This window comes from Homo sapiens, chromosome 15 (genome assembly GCF_000001405.40).
Source record: "Homo sapiens chromosome 15, GRCh38.p14 Primary Assembly".
In the NCBI taxonomy this organism is placed as follows: Eukaryota; Metazoa; Chordata; class Mammalia; order Primates; family Hominidae; genus Homo; species Homo sapiens.
The window spans coordinates 33,303,396-33,323,873 of NC_000015.10; the positions used below are offsets into that span (position 1 = coordinate 33,303,396).

At 44.0% G+C, this 20,478-nt stretch overlaps 1 protein-coding gene and 1 long non-coding RNA gene across 20 annotated transcripts in view, besides 3 other annotated features; one reads left to right on the forward strand and one right to left on the reverse strand.

Moving 5' to 3' along the window:
* Positions 1-261: 261 nt before the first annotated feature.
* On the reverse strand, positions 262-7,264 carry RYR3-DT (RYR3 divergent transcript). 2 transcript variants are annotated; one of them, NR_120327.1, is made up of 3 exons: positions 7,183-7,264; positions 2,937-3,036; positions 262-543 (listed from the first exon to the last, which is right to left on the reverse strand). It is a non-coding gene; the product is annotated as an RYR3 divergent transcript (long non-coding RNA). The 2 variants fall into 2 exon arrangements; NR_120326.1 differs by lacking the exon at positions 7,183-7,264 and adding an exon at positions 6,755-6,850.
* Positions 7,572-20,478, forward strand: part of RYR3 (ryanodine receptor 3) — a 555,136-nt gene continuing 542,229 nt past the window's right edge. For all 18 annotated transcript variants that reach the window (XR_001751370.2, XR_001751371.3, NM_001036.6 and 15 more), the window contains exon 1: positions 7,572-7,701. Coding sequence is in view for 16 of the 18 variants with exons in the window: in NM_001036.6 (NP_001027.3) it covers positions 7,651-7,701 (51 nt within the window). In the remaining 2 variants the exon portion in view is untranslated. The remainder of the gene's footprint in view (positions 7,702-20,478) is intronic.
* Positions 7,793-8,304: an enhancer, noted in NCBI's record as "H3K4me1 hESC enhancer chr15:33603389-33603900 (GRCh37/hg19 assembly coordinates)". NCBI's record gives its function as "activates a minimal SCP1, AML or CMV promoter by ChIP-STARR-seq in primed H9 embryonic stem cells {active_cell/tissue: H9 hESC(primed)}" and the evidence as "EXISTENCE:reporter gene assay evidence [ECO:0000049][PMID:30033119]".
* Positions 8,305-8,814: an enhancer, noted in NCBI's record as "H3K4me1 hESC enhancer chr15:33603901-33604410 (GRCh37/hg19 assembly coordinates)". NCBI's record gives its function as "activates a minimal SCP1, AML or CMV promoter by ChIP-STARR-seq in primed H9 embryonic stem cells {active_cell/tissue: H9 hESC(primed)}" and the evidence as "EXISTENCE:reporter gene assay evidence [ECO:0000049][PMID:30033119]".
* Positions 20,308-20,357: a silencer, noted in NCBI's record as "silent region_6271". NCBI's record gives its function as "represses an Ori minimal core promoter by ATAC-STARR-seq in GM12878 lymphoblastoid cells {active_cell/tissue: GM12878}" and the evidence as "EXISTENCE:reporter gene assay evidence [ECO:0000049][PMID:35858748]".

Sequence of the window (20,478 nt, forward strand, 5' to 3'; positions counted from 1 at the left end):
CTATCCTAAAACCACCTCAACATGAGATTCACCAATCCCAAAACCTCCTCAACACACTGCTTTTACGTGTAATAAGTACTTAAGTGAGTGAAGTGATTAAGCTCAACCTTAATTTTATTTTCCTTTTTGTTGTTGTTGTTGTCTGTTGTTATAGTTTTAAAGAATAGTCAATAATCCCTTAGGGAACAAGCACTCTAGGTGGTCACTAGCGAATTCTCACACATGTGTTAGCCATTTTTAAAAGAATGAGACTACAGCAAATTCACTAAACATTATAACTTTATAGAGGACAATATTTGATGATTAAGAAGACACTCCAGGATCTTGCTCTACGTCTGCGTCATTACACTGAATTTAATTATGAAGAAAGCAGGGAAGATAAATACCAGACAAGGAGCCCAGAGATCTGGGCTTTGATCCCAGCTTTCATCAATTCAGTTCACAGTTCACCTTAGGGGGCCTTAGTTTCCTCATCTTAGAGTGAGGGGTTGACTCTATTGGTGATTCCCAAATCCGTGCTGGTCTTGATGAGGTTTTCATCTCCTTTGCGGGAAAAGGAGAGAGAGTGAGTGATAAAGAGAGAGAGGCAGAGAAAGAAAGAGATTATGTAGTGAGTTATTCATAAAGTCAAATTTATTCTTAATTCTAAGATTTGTCCTTTTTACTGTCTTATGTTAAAAAGTCCTTTCTTTTATACAATGGTAATAGCCATTAATTAGCAGTTTGATTATCAATGTGCTTAATAGCAACATAAAAACATGGCAACCCCATGATACAGCTGAAAATTGTACATTTTTACTGGTCTATGCACTCATTGAACTTAGGTTCTACATTCTCAATTCTAGATTGTATGATAAGGTACAAATGTGGTAGTTTAAGGTCTCTGACTTCTGTTTGGACCTCAGATGAGAGCAACGGGAGCCACCCAGCAGCACTGCAGGCCTCCTGAACTTAGAGTCCACAGCATTCTGCCATGCATGTTGGCGACAACAGCAACATTCTGACAATGAATTGCAAGGCAGAGCTAACATCCTAGGACACTGGAGCTCTGATACTAAGAGAAATTGTGTGTCCTTTAGTGCAGAGAGAACAAGGATTTGCTTTGTTAGATTCCTTGAATTATTTTAAAGGAAATTTCACCAGCTCAAAGATACTGGAAATGAGATCTGCTCAGAACAGGCTGTAGGGACAAGTTGAACCTGGGAGTTGGCCATATAGTTACATATAGTTACCCTAGAACCAGCATAAAAGTCATTTACCTACATTTTTGCCTACTGAAATGTGGGTCTTACCCTGGCACCTGAAATAAATGACAAACAACTGTGTTCATCTCCTTTCCCACTGTGTGCCCACCTATTTCAGCAGGAACTATTAAAACTGCAGCGAATCAGAGCAAATTGTTGCTGGCAGCAGCTTCAATAAATCTGTGCCACTGAATTACAGGAAGAATTAAAATGCAGAAATTAGAAGTCAAAGGCACTGAGTTTAGTGTGAGACTTATCTGATTAAGTATAGTTTCATAAGCCACTAGATCTCAATCTCATAAAGCCCAAGGGAAAACCTGAGGGGGGTGGAAGGTGACAATTCCACCTTCCAGAGGAAGTCACAAATTTCAATATGCCATAGCAACAGAATACATCTCTCATTAAAGATGCAAACACAATACAGCTCAGAACAAACTCCCTAGGAAACAAACACAGAAAAGCAGTGTTGGTGTTCACCATTAACTTGCAACACATGAGATCTGCCCGGAATGTTTTGCTTATTGGGGCAGGAAATCGTTTGCTGAAATCAGAAACATTGTGTCTCTTTTTGTGTGAGTAAAGGCCTCATAAAAGTCGAATAAGAATAGAACTTTAAGAGAGGCAAGAATACAAATAGACCGGAAAGGCAGGCGTTGGAAACCAACACAAAGGAGGACAGGGACTGATCTGCAAGGAATATCTAGGTGTTTTGTGCTGAGCAGTTTTACCAGACATTCTGCTAAACATTCTAATCACCCAGTCATTTAATCTTTAAAATACACACAAAAGTGGGTATTTTCATAAAATGAAAACAGGCTTTGAGAGTTTAAATTATTTGCTCAGAATCATACAAATGGTAGACTTTTGCCCAGGACTCAAACTCTAGTGTTTCTAATGTCAAATGTCTAATTTCTAATGTCTAATACACAATGATTACAGTATAAATTTACTGTTAAACAGAGGCTGACCTGCAGGGAAATGCAAATAAACTACTATAATGCTGGTGGCTTAATCTATTGCTTTAACAACCCTTTCCAACTGGAGACTCCTTGAAGATGAATTAGTTCAATGGACGGCACCTTGCAAAAGATCTGCCTCCTAGGCTTCTGCAAGTGTGCTCAGCTTGCCTCTATCTCTGCTGTGCCTCAGAGGCTGCCCCAGCCCCGCTGGGAGAAAGCCCCCTCTTTATTTAGTTTCCGGAGCCTTTCGCCAGAATGGCATATTAACTTTTGCCTTATAATGTAATCCTCCAATCTTAAAACATCAAAAGGAAAAAGAAGGAGAAGGTGAAAAAGAAGGAGTAGAGGAAGGAGAAAAAGAGGAAAAAGAAAGGAGGAAGAAGAAGAGGAAGAGGCGGAGAAGGAGGAGGCAGTGGCAACGACGACATTTCCATGTGTTCAGCTTCAGGAAGGTATCAGTAAGTGGATCCTTGCCTGTGTTAAGCAGTTGCGATGTCCGTGGCTTTTATAAACAAGATAATGCACATATCATCAGAAAAAGAAAGATTTTTTTTTGTACCTGTTTCCTGTCTATTTTAGAAAGGAATCTGAATCAAGGATTTTTGGTATGGCTTCCAAGTTTTAGGACAAAGCTATATTAGTATACCAATTTAGTAGCTTATTATAAAGATCTTGGAAACAATTGATAATTTTTTCTTAACATTAAAAAATGACTTTTGTAAAATGTGTATACCATCGTTCCTACTGACACCAAATTAAAAGCAGGTGTAGTCTCAGGAGCTCTTTCTGTTCACAGGCTTCCCTGGTGAAAATAACTTCTTGCCTTGGAACACCTGAACAAAAAGCAGAGAAAAGTGTTTTTTTTTCTTTTTGCTAATGAAAAACAAATAAATCTTCAGTCAGTATATAATAGTACTTGTGTATATGGTGAGATATTTTAAAAGATGGTAGCTAGCAGAGTCAGTTCCCTCAACTCTACAGTTCTTTGCATCATTCCCTTTTATATGTTCCTTAGGCAAATCCTGAGTCAATGCAGACCAAAGCCATGAGCGCAATTAATGGAAGAAATGCATTTTCAGCAAATGGATGGCTGCTATAGTTAGGAAGTGAGGCTGAAATGGATATTGGAGAAAGATTTAGTGTTGTGTAGAATTTAATATATTGCTAGTAACATGGGTGAAGGCTATCTTTATCAAGTGTGACCTCTTAGCTTCTGTGTCTCCAAGCATGGGAAGTCCTAGCTTGTTAAAGCTTAAGCCTGCCTCCCCTATGGCTAAATGAACAAAGATGTATGAGACTTTTAACCAGAATGAAGGGGCCAGAGTCTTTGGACAGCAAATGGAGTGAAGCTAACTGGCCCTCCTAGAACTGAATCCATATCCTTGGCCTCATTGAGACCACTTGGGCAACTGGCTACCATGAATAATACAACATAGCAAATGAGATACTGACTTATATGAGTGTGGACATTTTCATTAGCATTTTAAAACTATAGCAATATTACTGTTAAAACACAAATAAGAGGCCCTCTTATGTGAGAAAATCCTTAGGACCAATACTTTGAGAACCTCCAGAGGAGAAAATAAATACATGAATTTTATTTCAATAGTCAATATTGAATAACAATATTTCAATGTCAGGCCTTTAAAATTGTATATGTAAAAGGTATAAAAGTGCTATAATGATAAAAATGAAAAATTTCTGATTTGGCCCCCACTACAGGCTCTCCACCTGCTGTTGATATTGGCTGCAGAGTGCCCCAACATTCAAATACAGCAGGCTTTGAGGTCTGACTTTGAACCATGCCAGTATCCCAAAGGTATTTGATTTCCCTGTTGTGTGCACCTAATTGAAGTCATAATAATGGCTGATAGCTTTCTCCAGAGGTTTAGAAACCTGGGAGGCTTTGGGTTTTTCTTTCAAAATGTAGTAGCTACAGTACCCTCTAAGACCTAAGGTCCAAGTCCTCCGGCTCTCTACTAAGAGTAACTGGTCTTGAGAGAGACTCAGTTTAAAATATAGGCTGTGTGGAAGCAAACCCAATGTGTATGGGGTATGGGGGCATGGAGGTGGTGTATGAACCTGATGTTTTCCACTTTGCTGTTCTAGAAGCAAGGCACTATAGTGGAGAAAGTACTGAAAAGTATTGAGATTGTTTTACTCCAAGTAAGAGGAGATTGTGTGACTCCTTTTACTAGATGTATGAATTTAGACAAGTAACTTACTATTAGTTTATTCTCTCCCGGTCTTAATGGGTGAACTAATAGCAAAACAAGTATCAAAGCACAGTGTCTGAACTACTATTTATCTGTACCTGTATGACTACAGCATCATTATTGGTGCATCTTTGGGAAATCTTAGAGAATGGAAGAAGTACCAATAGATTTCAAATAGAAGTAAATGTCCACCTTCCCCAGTTTACAGTCTGAAACAACAGCCTGAGACTCTTTTATACGCTGAGCTCCAGAACAATCTTAGATTTTGATAATTAAACAGCTTACTTTTGGGAACTCTAAAGGAACACAAAGACCATCAGGAATCCAAGTGGATGCACCAATGGTGTTACAGAACTCCATTCTTACTTCTTTTGTGGTAGGGTTATTTGACTGATGCGGGAGGTGGTGTCCCAGATTACATATCTGTATTTCAGTAAAGTATGTAAGAAAGGCATTTATAGTAGCCCTATGAACAAGAAGAAATTTGGGCTGCAAAATAATATATTTATGTAGGTTATTTTTTAATTATAACTTTTATTTTAGGTTCAAGGGTACATATGTAGGTTTGTTACATAAGTAAACTGCATGTCATGGAGGTTTGGTGTACAGATTATTTTGTCACGCAGGTAATAAGCATAGTACTCAATAGGTATTATTTTTCTGACTTAGGTAAGTTCTTGATCATTAAATAAGCATAATCAAAAGTATGAAAGTTAATCCAACAGGGCCTCTATTAGTATTCTGAAGGTATGCCATATTAAGCATAATCAAAAGTATGAAAGTTAATCCAAGAGGGCCTCTATTAGTATTCTGAAGGTATGCCATATCACAGGTTAGTAATAATTAGCACCTTGCCTGGCATACTCTAGCTTTAAAAATACCTTAAAGGTTCACATATAGAGACATCAATACATGATTGGGTATTACAATTGGAAGGAACACACACACACCCACCCACACACACACACACACACACACATATTTTTGAGACAGAGTCTCGCTCTTGTTGCCCAGGCTGGAGTGCAATGGCATGATCTCGGCTCACGGCAATCTTCACCTCCCGGGTTCAAGCGATTCTCCTGCCTCAGCCTCCCAAGTAGCTGGGATTACAGGCATGCACCACCACGACCGGCTAATTTTGTATTTTTTTTTTTTTTTTAGTAGAAATGGGGTTTCTCCATGTTGGTCAGGCTGGTCTCGAACTGCCGACCTCAGGTGATCCACCCGCCTTGGCCTCCCAAAGTGTTGAGATTATAGGCGTGAGCCACCGTGCCCACAGGTACTCAAGCACTTGCATGTGATCAAGATGGAGAAGAGCTGACTTTTGCAGTTCACGTGGGAGGAAAAAAGTAAATCTAGAAATTCTAGTTAACTCCAAACACAGTGAGTGTCATTAGTGTTTCTCCAGAAGCCAATCCAATATTAGGCTGCACATAAAGACTGTCCAAAACAAGGACGGAGAGCACAACAATTCAGGAAGAAGACCACCTGGAATGCTCATATGGCCATCAAAGATGACATAGGCTCTGGAAACTATACTACAGGGAAAGTTGGGGCTAAGAAGAACCTTGAGCCAGGAGAAGAAAAGAGTGGATGGTGGGCCATAGAGGCAAGCATGGCAGATGCCTTCTAAGAGGTGAAGGGCCACAATGTACAGATGGTTTGACTTATTCTAGGCGGGTTTCAGAAGAGGCACAAGGCCCAAGCTGAAGCCTAGAAGGTAGCAGTTTGAGTACAATACAAGAAAAAAACATTTTTCTTTGCATTTCTGATGTTCATCAGAACATATGGGACGGAAGCTCAGGAAAGAGATCTTAAGGTAGCATCAAGAGATAGATGTCGTCCACAAGGAGGCGGTATATGAAGCTGTGAAATGGCTTGGGGTTTCCAGTGTCTTCCACCATCATCAGCCCAGAATTACCACCTTCCCAGTTGCACTTCCTCCTAAATCTACATCTCTGGTGCCTTTTGCCTTGAACAGTCTCTTGCCTTGGAGCTTCTCGGCCATCAAACAGAAGGGGGCACCCTGCACCGTCAGTCAAGGCAAGGACCAATCTGGCAATCCCCAACCATGGAAAAGGACCTAAGGCTGGGTGGGATGTAGGAGCCTTCCAGGACCTGGAAGGGAGCCTCCTGTAACTACTCTCTACTCCCTTTAGAGTCCACAGGGCTGGAACTCTAAATGCAGAATAAGGTTAGGGGTGGGCAGAGAGGAAGGGTTGTGATGCCACCTGACTTCCAAATTGAGGGTGGCACAGGATCCCCCAGAAGCTCCCTGGGGTACAGAAGTCACAGCAACCCTGGACAATCCAGGGGTTTGGTAAAGTGTACTTACCAATTTTGAAGAGGGGAAGGGGTTCTCTTAAGGTGTAGAAAGGACTATCCAGGGAGTTGCAAACTTTGTTGTAAGTGGACAATCACCCTCGCTCCTCACTGCACCGTCTTCTCCTTGCCCAACAATGCACGCGGGTCCTAGCAAGGTATTCGAGTCCAGATCTCTCTCTCTCTCTCTCTCTCTCTCTCTGTCTCTGTCTCTCTCTCTTTCCTCTCTCTGTCTCTCTGTCTCTGTCTCTCTCTTTCCTCTCTCTCTCTCTCTGTCTCTGTCTCTCTCTTTCCTCTCTCTCTCTCTCTATCTCTGTCACACACACACACACACACACACACACACACACACACACACAGGCAAAGTGGGCAAAGCGGGCAAAGCGAGCAAAGCGAGAGGGTTGGTACCCAGTCTGGGCGCGCTGGAGCTAAGCAACTGGCCTTTGTTTGTGAATTGGAGCAGTTTAGGGGACATCCTCCGGTCGCCGCGGGGCGCGCGCCTCCGCTGAGTGTGCGGTGCGGTACCCAGCGGTGCGGGGGAGGCTCCACCGCGCCAGCCCAGGGCCCCCGCACCGCCCCCGCCAGCTCGACGCGCCCAGCGTTGCGCTCTCCACGGAGCGGGCGGCCGCAGCGCACTTGGCTGGGGCGAGAGGCGAGAGGGGTGGGCGGACTGCTTGGTTGGCGTTGGCGCTCTGCAGTGCAGTGGAGTGTTAGCCCAGCTCCCTATATGGTCGGGGATTAGCTTGGCGCTGCTGAGGCTGAGGCTGAGCCAGGAGCTGGAGGAGGAGGTGGAGGACGAGGACGAAAAGGAGGAGGAGAAAGAGCGCAGCAGCAGTCAGCGCACGCCGAGCGGCTGCCGGGGGAAGCAGAGGCGCCGGAGGCTGGGGCACCGCCGACGCCTCGGGAGCCATGGCCGAAGGGGGAGAAGGAGGCGAGGACGAGATCCAGTTTCTGAGGACTGTGAGTCTCCGCGGCGGGGGCGAGGCCGTGGGCAGGTGGGGAGGAGCGCGGAGCGCGGCGAGGAGGGGCTGGCTGCGCTGCGCCGCGGTGCCGGGTGCCCGGTGCCGGGCGCTTTCTCCGCACCCGCGGGCTGCAGAGGCGGACCGGCCACCTACCCGCGGGGCCGCGAGGGGCTGCGTGGGAAGGGGCACCATCTCCTGCCTCTCCCTTGTTCCCCTACCGCCACCCCTGCCCCAGGCCCTCCACCTAGGACCGCTCGCTCTCCAGGCAACTTGCTACTTGGTCTGAAACCCTTGATGCCCAAACTTCAGCCGGGGTTTGTTCGCGGTTGTCCTGACCCATAAGATCGGCGTTGGAAGCCCTCGCCCCGGGGTCGGCCCTCTGACACCTCCATACTCCACCCCAGCCCCATTCCTCTTCCAGGGCGCCCCCACGCACAGGGGAACCTCCGGGAAGGAGCCAGCGGGGCAGGGGGGAGTGTGGGGAGCCGGGTCGGAGAAGCGGGCGCAGGCGCTTGGTCCTAGCCCTGGGATCGCTCGGAGGGGAATTCACCCAGCGCTGCCCCTCTCGTGTTAAGCCCCACGCCGGCAACTGCTGCTGGAGCCTGACTTGACTGACTGCCTGTCGTGTGTTCGAGAGCTGTGGCTTCTGCTCCTGGCTCCCGCGAGCCCCGCAGGACAGGGAAACCCCAGTCAGTGGCTCCGCGTCACTCAGGTCCCCTCCTTGACACCTGAGGGCGCTGCTCCGTCCCAGATTTGGGGGTGAGGGGGCGAAGTCTGTTGCAGCCACACCAGCCTTGCCCTGTAGGAGATAATACAAAGACTTTCAGGGTGGACGGCCACCCGGAGGGGTGGGGGCATTGGGGATGCATCCTAGCGCTGACTTCAGCCAAGTGACCTTGAGCAAGTCGCATAATCCGCCCTACTCAGCCTCAGTTTCCTCATGTGTAAAATAAAATGTAACCAGCGTTTCAGGGTGATAAGGATTAAACGTTATCGTGAATGTCATAATGTTTTGTAAACGGCAAATCGCTCTGTAAATCTTAGGTAATTTTATATGCGCTGCCTTGCTCTCAGGAATTAGAATGAAATTCTTTCTTTCCCTCTCTCACTTCCCTTTAAGGGTGCCCCCTTCTCCATGACCTGGTCTTCGAAGATCACAACTTACCTCTTGTCCATCTTTTGAACCACTCTCCTCCTGTTGAAGCGCTTCCTTCCAATTTACTTCAGTTTCTCTTCCAAACATGGTTCTTTTGTCAAAGCTGGGACTTGGGTCTTATTTGGGGGGGGTATGGAAGTACCTATCGCCCTGCTGGTACTACTGAGAGGCTAGAGTATTCATCTCTTCATCCTTCGTCTGACCTGCAGACCCAGACTCCATTCTCATCTCTCACACTGCACACAAGATGGCCCCACAGTTGCAACTCATGACAACCCTATTGTTATAAAGCTGCCTGCTCCCCTCAAAGCTCCATCAAATCCTTTGGTTGTCCCTCTGACAGGTGTCTTTAGTAGTGGATGGGTGGCAGCTCAGGTTTTTTCTGCCTTGTGTCCTCCATGATCAGTCATTTCTTCTCCTTATTATTAATGATCTTCTAGGCGTTATTGCTTGAAAAAATTATCTTCAGACAGGGTCAGTGTTGAATAGATGTCCCAGGGAGTTGAGGCTTAGGAAGGTGGTAGTTGTTGTGAGATCCTTATGCTTTTCTCTTGGCTTCTGAGCCATCTTCCCTGACTTTTCCTCTCCATCTGGCATTGTAAGTGTTTTTTGTTTTTGTTTGTTTTTGGTACACCTGTAGCCAAGGTTTACTATAGTAGTGGTTCTTAAGTTTTGTGTCCTGGGCTTCCTGCCCTAGAGATCAGAGCTGGCAGACCTCTTTTAAAGTACACCCATGACAGCCTGTGGGGTTCAAGGACCCAGGTTCAGAGCCCCTGTTGCAGAGAACTGCATACCGGTTATGGCTTAGAGCGAGTGATGGTGGTAACCATGGGGGCAGTGACTCCAAATGTGGCGTTATTGGTTCTTTTCCTTCTAGTTATCACCTTATGTATTTTTTAAGGTGTGTTCCTCATTTCTTCACCCTATGAGGCACCTTAACATCTTTGTTTTTAGCTCACTGGGAAGGAAATAGGTGATGAAACTGAAGCACAGGAAATCGAGTGACTTGAACATAGCTGTTGACAAGTTATTGGTAATTTTCATTATACAATGTTCAATTACATTCCCGCTAGAGCCTGGCATTGAGCGTTACGCCAGATGTTATATATAGTCTTAAGAATATACCTAAGAACATAAGAGGAGTACTGCAGCTTTCTGAGCTTGGCATCCTCCTTCTTCATCTGTGAATTCGACAAAATGATTTTTTGGAATCCAATAGCCATAAGCTTTTGATCTCTGCACAAAATTTTGACTTTAGGGTAGTTGGGAACACCAGGCTTGTGCTAGCAGTGGGATTTTTCTCTCCTCTGGGTATGTCTGGGTTAGGGAAGCTATTTCACTTTGAACTCACTCAGTTACCTTTGCCTTAGGCTTTCTTTCTCCTCCCCAGACAACACCTTTAAAAGCATTTTGGCAGTGTATTAGTCATATATAATGCTTCCTCACATCGACATGGTCCTGGATGAGAAGGTGACTCATACTGGACCATGGAATAGAATCATATCTTTGTAACCATGAACTTTAAAGGATTGCCATCCCAGAGAGCAGAAGCTTTTAACCTATTTACAAAAAAAGACCATACAATAGCATTATGCCAAGGATCCTAATCAAATTGTTAGTGGTTGTAGTGTCAGGTTTGTTATAATAGTGCCAAAAATGAAAGCAGCTAGAACTATTGATAGTGTGAAATGAGCCAGAATTACTGCAGTAACCACTGTAGGTGTGTGTGGTGTGGCTTTAGACACTTATTTGTGGTAGTGTTTATTTTGGTTATGTCCTCTGATACATTTGGAAGCCCACCCTCTCCTAAGTAGGGAACAAGACCTAAACAAGGGCTTTGGAAGCTTAAACACATGTGAACTAAATGCTACTGTACCCCAAGCCTTAAGGAGGCAGTCTAAAACTATATACCCTCTTCTGGCCTTCTGAAATCACTGACAGTCATGTATGCCAGTTAGAATCAGGCAGATAGACAGAATCTTTAAGGCTAAAATTTTCCCTCCCACTGCTGTTGGCAGTGGCATCCTCCTCTCTTCCGATTGCTCTTGCTGACGTAGCCAGTGTCATTGACGTGGCTCTGAAGCTGCTCAGAAGCAGATAAACCTGCCAGCCGCTGATCTGAAAGCAAGAAGTTATGGTGAGAAGAGTGGCAATTACCCCATCTTCAGACAGTCGGTGGAGCAGCTGGCACCACATTCTGCTTTGAGAGTGCTAGGAGAAAACTTTTCTCTCCTACTTTTTCCTTTAGACTACAGTATCCATTTAAAAAACACAAAACGAAACAAAACTCTAATCCTTAGCTTATTGTTTTTAAAATATCACAGTCTTCTCCTTGCCAACTGCCTTTCCACCACAATGTTAATTGAAACAGAACTCAGAGCCAGGCGCGGTGGCTCACGCCTGTAATCCCAGCACTTTGGGAGGCCGAGGCGGGTGGATCACGAGGTCAGGAGATCGAGACCATCCTGGCTAACACGGTGAAACCCCGTCTCTACTAAAAATACAAAAAATTAGCCGGGCGTGGTGGTGGGTGCCTGTAGTCCCAGCTGCTCGGGAGGCAGAGGCGGGAGAACGGCGTGAGCCCGGGAGGCGGAGCCTGCAGTGAGCCGAGATTGCGCCACTGGACTCTAGCCTGGGCGGCAGAGCAAGACTCAGTCTCAAAGAAAACAAACAACAAAAAAAAAAACCAAAAAAAAACAACAACAACAAAAAACGGAACTCAGAGTGAGATAGACATTTGTTTGCATTAGTTTCAATTAAAGGTTGGTCATAGACAGCCTAATTTAGACCTCCCCATAGAAAGTTGTCCTCCTTCATCTAAATTTGCAGCTCTCGAGGGATGAGAAAAGGCACTTGGGCTGAAAATCAAGGATTGGTCCCTTGTCTTGGGTTCCTGCCTACAGGGTGCCCAGGACAAATTCCTGAATTTGAGCTGCAGCGCTCACGTGAGCTCATGTCTCTCGTCCCTCCCCAGAGCGCGCTGTCTTGTGTTGGAATGACAGTGAACTTGTACCTGGTGGTTTATGGATGCCTGCTTTCTTCTCTCTGCGGCAGGGCCCATTTACATAACAGCTGCATGAAGCCTGTGTTTTGGTAGATTTTCTTTAAGGAGATAAGGGAAAGGAGGTGGACACCTTCCTCCAGGCTCTGGGTGCTAGTGAGTAGCAATGGAGGTAGTGCTAAAATTCAGACCTCAGATACCCAGACATGCAGTGTGAGTTGCTGCAGAGCTGAACTGTAAGCTCTCCTGCTGAGTTATGTTTGAGGATTAAAATGACAAAACTCGGAATATTCCCACACTCTGGGCCTCCCAAGGTCACTTCAGGGCTTCCCATCTTCTCAGTCTCTGCTTCCTTCGCTTCTCAGAGCTGATCTGATTAAAGACCCATATCAGCCGAGCTGGACACACAATATCCCCTCCTTTCCAGGGAAACGTTCCCGGTGAGGTGAGAAGGAGGCTGGATCCTTTTTTCCAAAGCAATTAACTTGAATCAGAAAGGCCGCATCAGCAGTAGGGGGGTGGTGGCACATATCTTCTCTGCCAAGGCAAGATTGCCATGTCCAGGGTTGTCCTAAGGATTTTAAGCTGCTGATCTCCTGGGAAGGAGGTGGTGATGACTGCAAACTTGGAAATATTTGGAATGCAATGCGGCCCACTGTATAAGGACTGAGGTCAAGGGATAGGTTTGCAGTTGAAGAATGTGTGTCTGACATCTGTGCATGTTTTTTTTTCTTATGCTACTATGATTATTAAGCAAGGAATAATTATTAAATATGTTAAATAACATATTTCACAAGTGAAAATTTTAATTTCTAATATTGGTTTCTCCAGCTCCTTAGGGTTGATCTGAGGGCAAAAAAAATGGTGAAAAAGAAAAGAGTGGGAGGAATTTATCTGGAGAGAAAAATACTCTGATAATTATTTTTGAAGGATTTGTATTTAAATAAGGCATAGCTATCTGTGCTTATTTGCCTCTTTGCTTTGTGTTATTTTTACACCTTCATAGAAAGGAATCTTTATTTTATAATTCGACTTTTTCTTTACCTTACTGCTTAAAGAATTTTTAACTTAGAAGCCATCAACTCCATCATCTTCTAATTGACTTGGCATTATTCTGAATGATCTTTACCAATCTCAAGTGCAGACCCAGGCGGTCCTAGGTCTTAGGAACCCAATACTTTAGTTAATTTCCCACAAGTTCATATCAGTATAAACCTTTCTAAATTAGATATGTTCTTTAAGCTACCCTTAATACAAGATTTATCCAGTAGGAGTGGGATGCTGTAATAATAAAAAAAAATGAGCTTAGAGGCAAGAATTCCTATTTTTAGGTCTAGATCACTATCACCTTCAAGGAGTCACATAAGAAAATTGAGGTTTCATTTTTCCCACTGTATGGAGATAGAACCTGCGTTAACAGAAGTGTTGAGAGAGGCAATAGTCATTCCAAATGAGAGACATATTACCCCAAATGAGTCAATAAGTTGTGTTTCATAGGATATTATCATTGTGTCTCTTCTGCACTAGGAAGTCGACCTTTCTTATCATCAGATCTTGTTGGAAAACCAGCCCAGTTGCCGCCATCTCTAACATGGTCTTTGTTGCGGGTCCTTCCCTCCATCCCAGAGCTGTTGGACAGCCTCTAGTGTTGGGCTCACCCCAGGATCTCTGGGCAATTACTTCTCTAAAGCCAACTGCAACTATTCTTAAGCTATTTGATTAAAAGACTTGAGAAGTCAAGGCAGTGGGTGTGATAATCTTCAAAAGGCCAGGTAGGCTCCTCCCAGGATCCCAGCCACCAAACAGAACATTCAGAGTTATTTTTTGTCATCTCAGAAAATTACCAAAGCTACCGTTTCCCATAGGACCGCCTTTTCTTATTGAATCCCGTAGCTCTTCCTTTCATAGCTATCCTTCCTATTCCCCTTCCTGTTTCTTTTATGAGCCCATTTTTTCTTTCGCTCAAAGCACTGGGGACCTGCTTTCCTGTAAAACCAGAGCGGGTTTTTCTCCCAGGGATTCTGCTGCTTTAGTCATGTCTGCTCAGGGTGTTGGGGCCTTTGAAGAGTTCCTTTTGGCTGCACCCGGATGAAGCAGATGCTTCTAGGGTGGAGAGCCCAGCCAGTGGTGAGGCTGTAGGGCCACAGTTCTCCTTGGGGAGCCACACTGGGTCCTCCAGGCCCCAGGCTGGTGTCCTCTCAGCCATCTTCTTGTTTGGAAGTCAGGGGGGGTGTTTTAGGGACAAAGACATTTCCAGTCACTGCAGTTTCCTTTGGTTCAGTGAATTTTGCCATCATAGCACCTCTTCAATTCAGAGAGAGGGAAGAAAAAGTGCTGGCACCTCAGCCCTGATCCTGCTACAGGGATGAGCCTCTTGAGATGCCAAGATTATTTTTTTTCTGTTTATGTCATTTCTGATTCCCGGTTGTTAGAAAACAAAGTTCAGATCATCTCTGAGACTGATGATGCAGTATTCCAGAATAAAAGAGCTATACCTCCTCTCCTCACATGCACTTTTCCCCTCCTCTGGCTTAGAGTACATTGCTGACTCTACAGTCATACTCTGGGCTATTGTCCTTTGAGGTGGGACATAGCTTTACAAGGAGGAGGCATGGAGACACCAGGGCCTTCTTTTTTCACCTTCCACCTCCCTATACAGTGAACTCCTCATTGATTTCAGGTCTCTCTGCTCCTGTGCAGTCTTGTCAATACTTGAGGAATCTTACTATTATTGGATTCAATGCCCAAGAAGAAGGAAAGCAAACACTCTATCCTAAAATCAGATTACAAAGAGATTCAGAAATTACACTCAACATGAGCTCTTCCCTCTGGGGTGACAGCTGCTTGCTGCTGCTTATTTCAGAGTGCAAAGGAGGCAGAGAGAGCTCTGGAGACAGAGCTGCTGCTGCCTGTGCAGAATTGTACAGGCCATCAACAGTTTTTCTACTGAGTTGAGTTTGTAAGTGGTTTTATGCTATAGGAACCAGCCAGTATTATGAGCAAGGCAGCACACCTGTTATAAAAGTGTAGAGATGAAAGTCTGGGTTGGTGTCAGTGTCACTGTGACCCTTGCAGATACCCAGAAGGATGTCTTTCTCCTTGGTCTGTCTTTGGGATAAAGCACTGTCTCAAGAAATTCCCCCTATTAAAATGCTGAAATGCAAAGTTGTTAGCTCAGCAGGTACCACTGATGATTAACATCATTAACAGCTGAGCAGAGCCTATTACTGAAGGAACAGGAATTGGGTTGGAGAAAGGTGAGAGCACATGAGGGCATTGCTGAGAGGGGCAAGCCTGAGTAGGGCACCGCATTGGTGCTTGGGGAACCTTGAGTAGGAAATATACATCAAAGCACAGGAATCTAGGTTCTGGAGATGGCGGTTCAGACTCCATCTTTATTTAGACCTTTGAGCAGAGGAGAAGAAGGCTTGAGTTACCTGGGAGAAAGTGGCCAACCTTCAGGCATTCAGAAGAGCATTATTCACCATCAAGACTGGTGCTAATACATACTTTGTTTTAAATAATTCATAATCAGAGAAAACAGTAAGATAAGGTGACTCTACATCAAAACGAGAACTAAGGTGCCTCCTTCCTGAAGTAGAAAAGTGTTTGAGAGACAAAACCTCATTATCAGTTATTGTATTCATTAACACGTCACTCATACTAATCCCAAGCAAATGCTCCAGAGCCCCTGAAACCATTTCAAAGCAATTCCTATAGCAAAAAAGGGAAAGTGCTAAGGGGAGCTGCTTATCCCCTAACAGAGCAAATAGAAAAAGCTCTTACTGGAAGGTAAAGGCATTGCACCCGACCAGTGACAGGTACTGGCATCAACTCTGAAAATTTCACAGTTGAGTTCTCTAATGGGGCTGGGCAGAGAGAGCTAGTCAGCGGGACTACAGGAAGGAATGGAAAGTTCTCCATCAATGGCACATAAATGTCCACAGTGTGAGAAGAGAAGTATTGATTTGAATCGTGTTGCTCTATACCATGGACCAGATCCAGACTGTAAATAATACCGGGGCAGAAGGAGAGATCCCGTTGGCTACCACATCATATCGACCAGAAGCCGAATCCAAGAGATCAGATCAAAATAGGACAGCTGGTCTTGGAGTAGCATAAGCCCCTCCTAAGTCCCTTCTCAGTCACCCAGGACACTTGGCTATTGTTCCAATTTAGGACAGTGGTTTTCCTCCAAGTAATCCTCTCTTCTGTCCAGGCTGGCTAGAAGAGAACAGTTCAAGAATAAACTATAGTGAGGTCTTGAACAGATCTCATCTCTTTGCAAGAGGCATTTTAGGAGAAAAATATAGCAAAGAACATACTAGTCAAATGATGGGTAAAGTCAGAGGTAAAGCGTTTGCTATATTTGGCAGCATTTCTATTGCCAGATGCCTGTGAGATTGCCTGCCCTTCCCAGGTCCTAGTTCAACCATTTGTAAAGGCATGGTAATAATTAATGATTACATCTCAGAGATGTCCTGAAGAAACTCCACATTTCCTCCAGGAGAACTAGATATGTAAATCTGGAGAGAGTAGCTTGGAATAATAGTTGCCCTATTCCCTGAAAATGTTTCCGTCAGCCTAAAGTATGAGCCATACATTAGGAACTCCAGGAACACAGGGGTCTTAAATTTGGTTTACGCCAAGTTCTCAGGTACCTACAGATTGGAAAGTTCACAAATCTAAACACTTTGGGGTCAAGCAGGTAGCTAAATGTGTAAATCAGGCTTTATTTGCAAATAGAGGCGGGCCTGATCTGTACGTTCAAATAAAAAAATTCTCAACACTGCCAGTCAAGCAAAACACATCTGCAGCAAGATTCTGAGCTGCCTACCATTGTGCAGCTGCAAATAAGCACTCCAAATCTGTTTGAATGAAAGCACTCCCTAGAATGCATGAATATTTTCATGATAGGATCAGGCTCACAATACACATCATGGTCCTTGGATAAAAATGTCAACCTTAAAGACAGTGTATCATTTATCACAGGGTATAAAAGAGAGATTGGCAGGCAGACAGATTAATGGGCTTAATAAATGATAGGCTTTATCATCAAAATGAATTCAGATCTTGCTAGTCTTTAAAACACCCTTTAAAATCATCATATGGATGTAGACATCATGAAATCTAAAGAAAGCAGGGTGTGCATTCAACATGTATTGACCAATTACTCTCCACCCAGCCTTAAACAAGTTACTGGAAGTTACATAGATGAAAAAGACATCTTAATGTTTGTTGTTTTTGACAGCTCAGGGTCAAGAGGGAGCTCAGACTTACTTTGAGGTAGCAAGGATATCAGTCACTTCAGATGACTTTATAACAATTAATTTAACTTTTCCATGTTTCTATGGTACAAAAATTTTCCTGTTGAAAGGTATGACCTTGGGGAAGTTTCCTTACTTCTGTTCTTGTTTTCTCATGTTAAATGAGGGTCATAATAGTGCCTATCTGAGAGGATTGTTGCAAGGATTAAATGAGTTCATCCATGTGAGGTACTTGGAACAGTGCTCAACATATAGTAAATCCTCAATAAATATTATTTATTATTGTCTCAACAAAACAGTGTAAACATTGACATTAGTCACACTAGCTATTCCAAATGTCATTGCACAGTCATTTTATTATTGGAAAGTACAAAGGGACAATCCCCTGGGATTATTCCATAGTCTTGATTCCTGGCATTCTGCTTCACTCTAAATATGAGCAGGCTTTGTGAATGGAAATGAGCCTGCAATGTTCATGGCCTTGGGAGTACAGATTGGGAGGTCAGTTCTCTGAGCGTCTACTTTGCAAAGCCTCTTGATGCAAATGCTGATTGACTTCTCCCTGGGCAATTTTAAATTCCTCACGTCAATAGATGGGCAACATGATTTGGAGAATCCACAGCTACACAAAAATTCATCATCTTTGCTTTGGGGAGACATTTTTTACAACTTATGTCTTAAGTGTAGAAATTAACCTCTCTGGGAATTTACTGTATTTCTAATAACACAAGGTCATCCTGCTGTAAGGATCTGGCTTTTCATATCCAAGGATACAAAGCATGGACCTAAAGTAAAGCTTGATCCTTGCTACATACTTCACTGCCCTCTCCCCTGAGAGGTCCTGCTGGGGCAGTTGTCCAAGCCTCTGATTCTTACTCCCTCCTCTCTATCAAACCTTATTCCCATCCTTTTTCCCTCTGCTTTCCATGGAATTAAACTGGATCATATTGGTTATTTAACCCTGTTAAGAATTGTCCTTCCCTGGTTGAGAGTAGGTGTGTGTGAAGCTAAAATGCTCTGCTCCTTAAGTGACAGGTGTGTAGAAGGGCCCATGGACAGGCTGATGGCACCTTGTTTTTGATTAGTTTGGATCACCCTAATTGGTTCTTCATTTCACTCAGAAATCTGGTCCCAATGACTGAAAACTTAATTGGACTTAATAGACGGGAAATTTAATAATAATACAAAAAAACTAAAGCAAGATTTCTTCAAATAATAGAGAATGGGTGGGCTTTTGGTCTCCTTAAAGAAAGGAGAGTTCCGGTGCTGAATCTGAGTGTTTCACTAACTAGCAATACATTTAACATTTTAAGTTGTAAATAGAAAAGTGAACTCTATGGATGAGTTATTTCATTAATGCCAGCCTCAGTTTCCTAATCTATAGAAAGGTGAAAATTATAACTAATTCACAGAGAAGGGGTCAGGGTGAAATGATCAGACCTGAGATTCTCCAGAGCAAGGCTCTATTTTATCACCATTTGCTGCTTCCTTCTCCCCAACGTTTAACTATGCCCAGCACTTGAGACTGCCCTCAGAAAGTACACTTTATAGAGTATAAAATGCTATGAAGATGTCACACATGCATCTTAGAACTTGGACAACATTGGCATCTGATTACATTTTATGTTAGGCCATTCTTGGGTTGCCATAAAGAAAGCTATGTCTGAGACTGGGCAATTTATAAAGGAAAGGGTTTAATTGGCACATGGCTCTGCGGGCTGCCCAAGCATGACACTGGCATCTGCTCGGCTTCTGGGGAGGCCTCCAGGAGCTTTTCGGCATAGTGAAAAGCAAAGCAAGAGCGAGCATGTCACATGGCCAGAGAAGGAGCAAGAGAGGGAGCGGCAGGGGGAGGTGCCACACACTTTTAAACGACTAGATTTCACAAGAATCCCCTTTATCATGAGGACAGCACCAAGACATGAGAAATCCACAACCATGACCCAAACACCTCCCACAAGGGCCCACCTCCAACACTGGGGATTACAATTCAACAAGAGATTTGGTGGGGACATATAATCAAATTATATCCCATATATAGAGAGCCCACTATTCTAATTAAATACATTTTAGATCAAAGTTGCTCTGACTTATTTATTTTTGTACATACATTTTATTATATTGGCTCATAATTAGGCATGATGGTACACAATTCACATAAATGACTACAATCTATGTAAGTTTTGTCTATCCAGAACAACTTTTTTTCCACTGAATGTCCTAGTTCTCTCTTATTGTCGATCTTAAAGTCGATGGTTTCTCTGGAACCACATCATTTTCAGGTCACCATTGTCACTGTGCTTATTGCAGCTCTACAAACATAAATGACAAATTCAGAATTCACACTCTTGTCTACCTTATTGTAAGCTCTTAACCACTCTGTTGTCAAACAATGTATCATCTGTATCAGCACCACTATCATGTACAGTCTCTGACAAGAGAGTGGTTAAGAGCTTACAGTAAGGTAGACAAGAGTGTGAATTCTGAATTTGTCATTTATGTTTGTAGAGCTGCAATAAGCACAATGCCTGGCTTGTACCAGGCATATTTTCTCTTCCGTGCTATAATATATGATATGATATTTAATACATATATATTTTTTTCTTTGAGACAGAGTCTCACTCTGTCTCCCAGGCTGGAGTGCAGTGGCACGATCTCTGCTCACTGCAAGCTCCGCCTCCCAGGTTCACGCCATCCTCCTGCCTCAGCCTCCCGAGTAGCTGGGACTACAGGCACCCGCCACCATGCCCAGCTTTTTTGTATTTTTAGTAGAGACGGGGTTTCACCATGTTGGCCAGGATGGTCTCGATCTCCTGACCTCATGATCCGCCTGCCCCGGCCTCCCAAAGTGCTGGGATTACAGGCGTGAGCCACCGCGCCCGGCCTTAATACATATTTTAATGGCAGAGCCTACTCCCCAGTGGCTGAGGATTCTTTCTGCCAGAGCCCCAGCACCCATGCTCAGACTATACTTTGATGAGCCACCTGGGATCCTGAAGCAGCTGCTCTTCAATGATATGGGGAGGGGGTGGAAGATGTACTTAAACTGTTTATTTACTACAATTTCTAAGTCAATTAATTGAGAAAAAAAATCTAAATAGCTCTCCCACCTGCGCCCTGGAAGCCTTAGCCAAGTGAAAACCTGTGGGTGTGCATGCATTTGTACTTGATTTTCTAAATATGTGAAGGTTGCAGTCCAAGTCATGCTTTTAACTCAACCACATCCTGTGCTTGACTCCCAGCTGTTTGGGAGGTGGTAACTTTGACTGTCCCCTGGGCTTTGCTCTGGTCTCTGGCTGTGCTAAGTGCATGCCACTTGTTCATATCCTGGTGAGGCCTGTGGAATACACA